Raw genomic sequence first — 12027 nt, 5'->3', positions numbered from 1 at the left:
GAGAAACAATTGTAATGATCAAATAAATGTTTGTTTTTAGTATTTGTAAGGGTACAATGAACAATATTAGTATATTCAATTTTTAGAATTTATATATTTGTTGTAACATTTCAAATAAAATGTATTGGGTAGTTTCCATTTAGTGGTCAAATAATATATAAGACTAGAAAGCCACACTGTACCGTGTTTATAATGTGGGCTGTACGTGGAGACTTAGAAGAGAATTCACATGGCTTTACTATTCACACATAGGGACATCACTCAGGCTTGGTTCTAAATAATAAGGTAAGTAAAGGCTGTTCCTACAACTATACCTTTGGAATTGCACTTAGAATGAAATCCCGTTTGTATGCCCACAAGTCTTTCAACAGTCTGAACTAGCCTATCTTTCCTACCTTACTATATGTTGTTCTTTTTTTCCCCCAATCCCTTAGCCAGTGTTTTTCTTCTGTTCTTTGAATGCATCTGTGTGTATACTAAGATTCATCTAATAGACCCAAAACAGTTTAAAAATACATGTACTATGTAGCAAGGGTGTGTAGAAAATGCAACTTAAGTAGCATGCGGGTAGTTTTGTCTAGGAAATATTTTTAAAAATGTAAATACAATATATCCGTGTTGTTTAAGTTAGCTATTTCCATAGTTGTTATCATCATCTTTTACCATAGCTTCCTCGAAGCCAGTATTTTGGAACTAACCAATTTTAACTTTAAAAGGTCTTATTTATAACATTCTTTCATTATGTTAGAAAAAATAAGAAATCATGAATATTTATTTTCCATGAGAATCAGTGACAAGACAAAATATTGATTAAATTTTGTTCCATTTTATTAGTGAGCAGGGTAGGCCAAATCAAATTGCCAGTTTCGTTCATTTAAAATAAAATTTGCCAAAATCTATGTTGTCGAGGGTGTGGGTAGACTCAAAGGGAATGTGAGGAGAAAATAAATTGAAGACACAGTACTGTAGCATGGTTTTGATTTAAGTGAACATTTTCTGAGCTTTATAGTTACCAAATCTTGCATATGGAAATTACAGTTGCTCTTAATCTGCTTTAGAAGACTGACGCAAATATTAAAAAGTAATGAACTAACAAGATTGTTTGTTAATTCCACATAAAAGCACTAATTATACATCATTTCCTGCCTACAGCTAAACCCAAGAGACATCTTCTAAGAAATTGTTAAATAAGCTTCCTCACTAGAAATGTGAATACAGCTGAGTTGCATGATAAATTTCCATTTAAGGACTCCAGTTCTATCTCACCCTTAAAGAATAAAGAGAAATAAATACAGGAAAAAAAAGGGCATATTAATGTATTCAGGGAACAAAATTATTTTGCTCATGGGACGTGCCTCATTAATACAATTACATCTGATTTCAACATATGTTTTAAAGGGTAGATTTTATAGGAATTATACTTACTCTATATTTGCAGGCTTATTATATTGAAAGCGTACTGTAAATTTCATTGTTATCACTTTTAATATTTTAATAGTATAAGTTATAGCAGTAATTTTCCAAAGTATATTTAAAATGCTACCGTGGTGCTTGGGTTTCAGGGTTCTGGCTATACTTTTATATTATTTCTATTAAAGTGTTTGTTATACAGGTGCAGGAGAGATGCTTTTATGGGTTTTTTCCTTTGTAGAAATACCATAAAAGCAACTGCCTCTTATCAATTTTATTTTTAATTTACTTTTTCATATGAATCCATTTTCCATGTCTAATGGTCGCTTTTAGCAGGTAATTTACAGGTGAGAGCCTGCTAGTCTTTGATCATTTGCTGGGCCTGTTGAATGGCAATTATGCTTTAATTCTATAAACATTGAAAAATGTTTTTTTTTTAAACTAGCATTATAATTTTTAACAATTTTACAGTCTTATTGGATATAAAGGTGTTTGGAGTCATTGGTTATTAACCTGAGAGAAAACTAGTATCTACTGCCTCTGTGGACAAATTAGAAAAAGGCACACTCTCTGGGCAGATAAATTAGAAAAAGTTGCCCTCCCTCGGGTATCCTGCTTAGCAAGCAGAGTATAAGCTTAATTTCAACCCCCACTTGTACCTCTAGGCAACACTGTGCAGAGTACAAACTATGCAACCGCTGTGGTACAGCCCAGATTCTATTTTTTTGCTCAGATTCCTGGTTCCTAGCCCATCCTGGCCAGCCGTAATCTACTGATGCTCAATGCCTGTGAAAACAAGTCTAAAACTAAATATCAAGTCGTTGGCCTCATTTTGCCAAGCATAAAGAAATAAAACTTTGCAATAGCATGATGCTCCTCAGTTTGTCTTACATAAACTTTTTGACATAGACTGCTGTAGCTACTCTCATCACACTTGATTTATTTTCACTTTCTCTGGGTGCTCATTTATTTATAATTATGGATATAAAATATCTATAACATTTTTTTCTATTGTAATATAATTGTTTCTATTTGAAATATTGAAATCATTAAAATGTAAAGCTGAAAGATACATTAGAAACTATACATTATTATCTCCTTTTTATCACAACTCTAAAATTTAATTGAAATAGTAAAAATTATTATTATAAAAATTTAAAAATATAGACAATAAAAAGAAGAAAACTGGATATTTCCAAACTCTTTTAAAACTATTTTTTTTACTTAAAATGTATGTAGAAGTTTTCATTTTTAAAATTGTAGTTATCTGTTATTGTTCTGATAGTGACATTAGGTATTCTATCATCTGATTTTACCATAATTTTAATTAGACAATTATCTGTTTTGGAATATTTAGTTTACTCCTGATCTTTTTGCTGTCATAATAGGCATATTGTAAGCTAAGATTAACATATTGTATCTAAACCTCTATTGATATCTATGATTATTTCCTCAGACTAAACTCCAACAAGTGGAACTTTTAGATCAGAAAACATTCCAATTTTAAGGTATTTGTTTACTATTTCAATTTGCTCTCAATAAAAGTTCTATTTTTTCTCTCACAGATAGTATATAAGAGCACTCATTTGCCTAAATCTTTTCTAACAATAAACATAATTACATGAAATAAACTTTTCCATTTTGATAGATAATAAATTGTATTTATTAATTTAATTTTCATTTATCAACTTATATGTTTATTGGTTATTTCTTTTGTAAATTATCTTTTTGTGTTATGTATTCATTTTTCTATAGATATATGCAACTTTTCTTATTGACTCATGTAAATAATTTATATATTAAGAATATTTAAACCTTTTTCTAAATACATTGCAACTTTTCCCTCAGTTTGCCATTTGCTCTTCAATCTGCTTATGGCAATTTTGGCACAATTTTAGAAAATACTTTAGTATGTTCTTACATGATTTATTTTTGTAAAAAGAAAGGTCAAGACTACATCAATATTTATCTAGTTCTTACATTGTCTTCTTGTGTTTATGGAGAGTTTCCTCTTACCATGTACATATATATTTAATATATTTAAAATACATTTTAAAATGTAGTTTAACAAGAAGATTCTGACTCCACCACATAGTAACATCTTGTTTTTAGTCAAATCACTAAATCTTTGAAGTCTCAGTTTTTCTATTTGTAAATTGAGGAGCCATCAGACCAACAGAAGAGGTAGAAATTCTAAATAAAGACTCATGAGCATATGAGAACCCACTGAACCATAAAGAGCATACCTTCTGTTACTGGTAAAAAATTAATTTTCTGTTAGTAATCAGTTACACCCGTAGTTGTCTATTTCATTTTAATTTTCTATTGCGCCCTAGGGAGAGTATTTATTGAATATATTTTACATTTAATAAAGGCAGATTAATAATTTTAAAGCCCATGGATTCCTTGCTTTATACTTTGTTATGTTTGCTTGTTTGTTTTGGCTAGAAAAGCCTAAGACCCAAAACTGAATGACTTTTTACCAGCTTTCAGTCAAGGGTTGATTTTCCTTTGCAGCCTCCATTGCTGGCCATGTTAAAAGAATAACATCAAGTAAAGTACAGAGAACAACATTTAGGCATTGTAATTACCACTTTCCTTATATAACTTCACTTCATATACAATGAATAAAGGAGAAATGAGCTTTTACACTGTTTTGAAATGACATGTTCATGGTTTCATTCTACTCGTAAGGTTAGCAATATTAACTAATTATAAACTTGGACACTTTGGGATGAATATAGATTGCAATTGATTTGTGAAAATATCTAGTACTGAAGCTGTAACAGCTCATATAAACTCTGAGGAGATTATTTTTTAACTCATGTTTTCTAGACGTGGAATTATCCATGGTTTTACTGATGATCTTTATGGACTATCTCATAGGTAGTTTTAAACTATGAAACATTATGTTTGACTATTTTTCTCCAGATGTGACTAATTACTAATATGTTTTTTAAATTGCTCTATTTATAGATAATCAACCTTTTATTTGTGGCATTAAACACTGTCCTTCACCTATTTATTATAGAATGCATTGCTAATTAGCTGTCAAGTATCAATGAGGATTAACACAATGCACACAATTTTTTTACCTAAAGTAGGTATAAATATTCCCCTGGTGAACATAATAGACTACTTGGTTTCTGGATGTAGTGTGCTTAAATAATGTCAGTAATTCCACCTAAGAAATTATAATTTTGCGGGGAGGAATAAAAGACAAAATTAGAAAATCATCAGTGTACCTCACTAGGGAAAAATTATTAAAGTTTAAATTTAAAAAATGAAGATCTGGTATATTTGAGAACTTTAAGGAAAAAATGTTCTTGTTTGAATCCAATTCATTGCATACCCACATCACTAATGAAGTTCACCTTGATGATGATGTGTTTGTTTGTCTAGGCCAGTTTGGTGGATTAATGAAACCTAAACCAGAAAGTGTTTCCAGTTTGGCATAGGGAATGTGAGATTGGCTGCTGTCTAAGGAGAGATATTTATAGGAAGGAATGGAGCAGTGGAGATGGATTCACTTTTAGGCAGACTAGATAGTATTTCTCTAATCACCTCATCCCCACCCCCTCAAATGTGTGGCTTCTGCACATAGATTTTTCTGTCATGAAACCCTTAATTCATAACACTATTTTTTTCAGACCACCTCACCCTGTTTTCTCTGGATTATGTCCTCCCACATCCAAATTTATTATTATTCCCATAGTATTTCCAATTTGCAGCTGCTTCCTGTTCTAAAGAATTTCATCTCTTCTCAACTGACTGTGTCCCTACCCCTCTCTATTTTTAATCCTCAGTCTTTCTCCATCTGTTCTTCTCTTTGTCACATGTGCAAACACCATCCATCAATTCCCCCATACTCCCTGTGTTGCTTTGCCTCTGAGTCACAGCTTTTATAATCGTGATGTTTGATAAATCAGTTATAATCTTCCCAGCAAATTTTATGATCAAACATGATTAGATGGATAAAGTCCTTTGTTGCAGGATTGATGAATTTATGGGCTTTATTTATATTGTTTTATTTTACATGAGGAACTTTCAGAATTGAGGAAAAATATAGCTTACCTATATAAAATAATACAGCATACCCTTTCATTCCCAAAAAGAAATAGGCAAGTCACTTTCATAAAAATAAGCTTAACTGAGAGTTTTTTTATTTTTTGAGAAATGCAAACACTGGAAAGTTTTTCAGAATGACAGTAAAGTCCTCAAAGGTGGGTGAGAAAGTGCATTTATTTAATCATTGTTTAGCAAGAGTAGCACCTTCTCAAGCACTTAAGAAAAAGATTGCATGATGAAGCACAATTTCTCTAACTTCTCAAATCGTGACTTGATTTGATAAATGCTATACATTATTATTATAAAAAACAAGTAATATCACCAAAGAGAAATAGATGAGTTATTTTACTTAATTCAGTCTTATCACTTTATCTTTCTATGGGAATATCACTCAATCCACCTCATTATAAAGAAGACATTCAAGGTTTTGTGGTAGCTATGAAATTAGCCTATGACCTGCCATTATGTTTTTTACCTCTATAAAATGTATTTTGGCTCTGGCTTTGGCCCATTTGTCTTGAAATAGGGTCATTTTACATAGCCCTTTATTTAGGGACTTTAAAAATTATCTCTCAGTAACAATGAATAATGCAAAGCCATTGTTATAGTACTATGTAATAGTTATGGAATGATTTTCTTCTCTCCCGTTATATATGTGCTACCCAGTTATTTAGTGACGACCTCACAATGAGCCTCTTGTTTCATGGTGGAGAAAGATAGCACTGTGATTTCAACCTTAAGACTCCAGTGAAAATAAATCATTTGTTCCTGTTTAGTGTTTTTGTTGTAATAATTCTCAGAAGAATGAGGCATAATGTTAATGGCATTCTAGTTTATGAAAGACTATAAACTTTAAATATTTCATAACTTTGAACTTCAACCTTTTCAGTATTCTGCACTTTCATTGGCTGTATGTGTACCTTTTGCACTCATGCTACAGAAGTTGTAAACAGTAAAAAATAGAAATGGCTAATGAATCATACTGTAGACATGTAAAAGGTCAGTGTTACAGAGTTTATTATTATCTTCTAGAGAATATATAGGACATTAAAATTCTGATGCTACAGTCTTGTGACAAGGAATATAATGAGAACTATAAATAATAAACAGTATAAAATGAATCTTCTTGTGACAATGATTATAGCTTCAAATAGGAAATACTTAACCCATTGTCATTATTACCAGAAGAAAGGACTGCTATGCTGATGTTCATCTTTCCCTTTTGTGGCTAGAATCTATTTAAGCCACAGAGAATAAAAATAAATAATATATATTCAAGAGTGTTGAATACATTGCTTTATGAGCGCTTTCCAAAATGAATATCATGTTATGGTTTAGGATTAATATGGATCACATTCTACCATAATAATTTTAAAATAACAACTTTAATGTGACTTGTTTGTTTAAAAACAGATGTTTTGCTGTCATTCAGGACACTGTCATGTGTGATAACAAAGTAATACCGTATTTCCATGCAGAAGCCATGTATAAACAAAAATATTTGCATTTAACAGCAGGATTCCAGGCTTATTTGATACTTGCATTCATTGAAATTGGTTATATAGGCCCAGAACTCTTCATAAACTAAAGAAAACATATTTACCCTGCACCTCAGAGGTATAAATACAACTTTAGTGTCTCAATTTGCTAATAGGTATTCATTATTGCTTACTATTGGTGTTCAGTGTCTAGACATGACATAGAAAAAAAACACACACACAGGGTGAGGAAAGAGAAAAGAGAGCTGAAAAGGAGCCAATTGTATTGATGTCACTTGCTTGTTCTAGTCAATTTGTCATGGATTTCTTTAATTAATTGTAAGTTAAGTTTTTCTGAGCATAGATCTGACCTACTTACTTCCTGTGAGAAGGAAAACGAATCCTGTCCTGCCGTCACTTACCACACCTTTTGGCAACTCTCTAGAGACGTAGCACTACCATTGACATGATGGCTTGATTTCTTCTCAAAATATCTTTCAACATCTGGCTCAAAAGATATTTTTGATGACTATAAGCATGCCCAATTTCTCTGTTCATAAGGATTAAAATTCAACAGATATTTAGTACACTAGGACTAAGCTACCTTATCACGAGCAGCTGTACAAAGATGTGCTGAATACTTGTGTTCAATCCACCAGAGTGAATTGATGGAATCATGCCAGTTTCAGGACATACATGGGGTGAGAGGAATTCTATCAGTCACTATCCAGATATTCCTGCTAAACCTTAGAATACCACCTGTACATTTAGAATGACTTGTTATGAAACAAATAAAAGAAACTTAATCAATCTATGTGTCCTCACCAGAGTAGCAAATGACTCTTTCTTGGTGCTAAAAATTCTTTATTGTTTTTTGTCTCTGGCAGGCTTTTTCAGCCTCTGTCTAACTGGTTATATCACCTACACTATCAGCACTGAATATTAAAAATTCTTATTTGAAGAAACATCCTCTTTAGACGTTTCTAGTTGATTGGTTGTTCATGTACAATGGCACTATATTTTAGGTCATTTTACTATATAGTGAATTGTTATACAGCTGTCAAAATGTACATCCTTTCACACTGCATGCTGCATCCTTATTTTTGTTACTTGAAATTTTAAAAGCTCCCATCTGAACATTTTGATAATCTCTCAGAACCATCATTATAATGGGGTGCTGTAGCAAATTATGAGGAATACAAACACAGCAGTATCTGAGAAAAACATTTCCATGTGAGTAAAGTATTTTCATTTGCACTTCAATGTTCTGAGCATATAGTGATATGGTTTGGCTGTGTTCTCACCCAAATCTCATCTTGAACAGCAGTTCCCATAATCCCCCTGTGTCTGTCTTGGGAGAGATCCACGGGGAGGTAATTGAATCATGGGGGCAGTTATCTTTATGCTGTTCTCGTGATAATGAGTGAGTTCTCACAGGATCTGTCAGTTTTATAAGTGCCTCCCCGACCTTCACTCTGCACTTTTCTCTCTGGTTGCCATGTAAAGAAGTACGTGTTTGCTTCCCTTTCTGCCCTAATTGTAATTTTCCTGAGGCCTCCCCAGCCATGTGGAATTGTAAGTCAATTAGACCTCTTTCCTTTATAAATTGCCCAGTCTTGAGTATGTCTTTATTAGCAGTGTGGGAATGGATCTAATACATATAGTAAGCTCTTTGTTGAGACAAAGGGTGAAAGGATCAGTCCTGTTCCACCTTGATTTTGGACTCTTATTGAGCCAGAGCTATATATACTATGTAATTAGCAACAAGGAAAAGTTGAAACACAAACACCAGTTCGTGTTGAAGCAGTGGTCTAAGAATACTCTTCCATCTTCCCTCCTCCTTCTTTCCTGACTTTTCAACTTGGTTCTGCCTATGACTGCTAAATGTTAGCTCTATTACTCTCACCTCAATCTCATCTGGCTTCTTTTACTGTTTGTTCATTTTTCTCTATTATCTGAACTTTAGGCTGCCTTTATGGAACTTTTCTTAATTCAGCCATCCAGCTCTAAGCACCCCTTATAGCCTTGGGTAGATAGAGATTCCCCAATCTAGCCTTGGCCTAGGAAGAACCTAACCACCCTTCCCCAGTCACACTGCAAGACAACTCAATAGAAAATAGTAACAGTCATTTAACTAAGCCATTTAGAAAACACTGACAGGTTTGTTTCTGCTTTAATTACCTTAAAGATAGAACACAAAATCCAAGGCTTTGGTTCCTGGGGTGTCATTTTGAAAAATAATTTACAGCATTTCAGACTTCACAATCTTTATTTAATCTCCAGTATGTAGGGCACATTTGTGCTAAACAGAGTGTGGTAGGGTACAAGGTTTCAAATAGGGCACATTAGTGCTAAACAGAGTGTGGGAGGGTACGTGGTTTCAAGTAGGGCACATTAGTGCTAAACAGAGTGTGGGAGGGTACAAGGTTTCAAATATAAAAGCATAAATGAATAACTTTCACCTCTTTCCACAACCCTTTTTTCATCCTTCCTTTTTGCCATCAGCTGTGCTCTCTGTTGGGTGATGCAGGAGCTGGCATTCCCCCAGAATGGAAATGGGCAAAATAAGAAGGCAGTGGAGGACCAAATATCGGAGGAGGAGCAAAAGGAAGAGGCATAGTGAGAAAGGGATTGAAAATCGGAGGTCGAGGAGGGATGAAACAATGAACAGTAGAGCAAGAAGGTAAACCTGGAGTACTGGAAGACAACGGGATAGGCCTTGGCCAATTATGCATGGGGTGGCATGGGCCCCTGAGTGGGAAAGAAACATGAGCCAGCTTTCCTCTGCAGGCTATTCGTGTATTTCCGGGCGGCACCTCCATTACTATCCCTGATCTAAGGGTGGGAATATGTGAAGGGCCTCTCACTTGTGGGCCCCTGGGTGGAAAGAACCCTTTACCTTGTGGCAAAGCTACATGCAACCTTGCGTTATTACTGCCTCTCTCAGTGCCCCCATTGTTGACCTTTGTGCCCCCTACTATCAGTGCAGGAGGGCCGCCAGAGACTTCCCAGGACACATTAATAGCATCCTGTCCCTCCTGCCTCCAGCCTGCCAGTGCATCAGAGCTGTTTACTTCTGCTGTTGCTAGGGACTCTTCTGCAACAGCAGGTGGTGGCCCGTAGGGGTGTCTATGAGCTCTCAAGCTATGAAGAGGAATGCAGGATCCTGTTCTTTCAGAGGGCCACTCCAGTTGCTTGCTATCCAGATCAGTCAGCACATTGACGGAAGGTCTCAGCGGTACTTGAGGTTGACCCCAGGGCTCTGCGTCATCCTCTGGCTTGGAACTCAGACATTGCAGGGGCATGTCGTGGTGCAGCTCCTGGTTCCCATTTTTGTCCACAGATACTACCAAGGGTGAAGGGGCGTGCCCTCCAAGGCTTGCAAAAACAGAAATCAAACAGCTAATAAAAATGGAAATGCACTGACCAGAAAATAGCTACAATATGTAATTGACTGAGCTCACTGAAATATACCAGGGAAAAAAGGAGTGCCCTCTCCCCTATATGTAGCCAAATACTTGCTCAGCGCTCTGGCCCCTTCCCAGGTGGCTTCTTTAGTACTAGGCTACATGATTACCCTTCATGACTACTCAGTGGCCTATTTCATTCCTCATTTCCCCACCTCCACAAGGCAGCAAGGAAGCTTAGAAGATGCACATAACTTAATAGTAAGCATATAATAGAAAATACCAGCTTTTTCAATTCTCTCTAGGATCTATGATTCACTAATCCTGGCATTCAGATTCTGGCAAGATTGTTCTGGTATGTCTTCCGAAGTAAAATATCTTTTTCTTCACAGAAGTCAAAGAAAAGTTAGTTATGTTAACAAACACACAAGTTTCTCTTCTTGAGGTATCATTCAACACTCACACCAAATTTTGTTAAAAATTCTTTCATTCAACCACCACCACACCCTAGAGTAAGAATTTCCTCATGTTTAAACCCCACTGTTTAGACTAGGGATTTGTAAATTTTCTTTCAAAATTACACTTCAAAGTTGCCACTCTTAAATCCGGTATTCTTAGTAACTAAATTTATGTCCTTCAAGTTTTTGTCTGTAATTTCCTCCCACATCTCCTCCAACCCATTCATCCCTGTCCCAGTTACACAATAAAGCAATTCAAACTGACTTTGCCTTCAAAATTAAACAGTTGTACTCGGTTTTGTACTTACACGTTTTCAATACAAGCCATGAAGAAATTTGATCAGAATAGCTTTCCTGAGGTGGTGGAGATAACCCACTGAACAGGCCAGCTAGGTCTGGAGAAATGACTCCTGCTTCTGCTTTAGAGGCTTGGCAACTAGAATGAAGCCAGGGACCAACTGCTTCTTTCTAGATTTGGAGTTCTCTTTCTGGGGTTACCAGTTGCTAAGGAAGGGAGGGAGAAAAGGAGTGGGGAGGGGGGTGGGTGGGGATGAATCTGTGACACTCCTTTGAACTTAAATGTGGGACTGGTGTTTGCACAGTAGTAGATGGATGGTAAAGGCATTCACTACATTAATTCTGATGCAGGGCAGTTGGAAAGACAAATCATTTCAAGAAGGATTTAGAAGAATCATGGAAGCATGATATTTTTTAAAGAGTTATTTATGAAGTTTTAGTTTCTACAAGGTAGTTGTCAAGTCTCCTCAAATTTGGAAACACATTGAGCAGAGTATTGTGCCTAATATTGTAACTTAAACTTCCAGTTTGGGGATGCATATTATTAACTTGGTGGAGAACAGAGGTTTGGGGGCTAAATTGCTTTTCTATCTGTGAAGATGAAACAAGAACTCCTCTAAGAATCATTGTGACATTATTTTTTAGCCCCTCACGTTGCAGTTATATCCTTCATCTTGTCTGTTAGTTTATAAGCTCTCTCTCTCTCTCTCTGTCTCTGTCTATGTCTGTGTGCACGCGCGTGTGTGTGTGTGTGTGTGTACGTGTGTGTATTTCCTGTAATAGAGCTCTGGAAGTTTCTCTCAAGTTGGGAGGGTCAGAATAAATGGCATAACAGGTATCATAAATTTATAAATATTAGCTTAGGTTTGGCCATGCAACATTTTTGCATAGGGAACTTTCTGTTTGTCC

General features: G+C 35.2%; 1 protein-coding gene across 1 annotated transcript; it reads right to left on the bottom strand.

Annotated features, from left to right (window-relative positions):
* On the bottom strand, window positions 9207-11264 carry PRR32 (proline rich 32). Its single transcript, NM_001122716.2, has 2 exons — window positions 11130-11264; window positions 9207-10334 (listed from the first exon to the last, which is right to left on the bottom strand). The coding sequence occupies exons 1-2, from the start codon at window positions 11147-11149 to the stop codon at window positions 9458-9460; spliced, it is 897 nt and encodes a 298-aa protein (NP_001116188.1). The 5' UTR covers window positions 11150-11264; the 3' UTR covers window positions 9207-9457.

Source organism: Homo sapiens, chromosome X (genome assembly GCF_000001405.40).
Source record: "Homo sapiens chromosome X, GRCh38.p14 Primary Assembly".
Lineage (NCBI taxonomy): Eukaryota > Metazoa > Chordata > Mammalia > Primates > Hominidae > Homo > Homo sapiens.
Note: the sequence above shows the minus strand (reverse complement) of the source record. Positions and strands in the feature narration are given on the sequence as shown.

Bases quoted from the DNA above. Each gene is read 5' to 3' on its own strand.
- PRR32 (NM_001122716.2), bottom strand. From the start codon at position 11,149: ATGGCTTGTATTGAAAACGT. The intron at 10,335-11,129 runs GTAAGTACAAAA...TGTTTTTGCAAG, and splicing joins ATGGCTTGTATTGAAAACGT to CCTTGGAGGGCACGCCCCTT.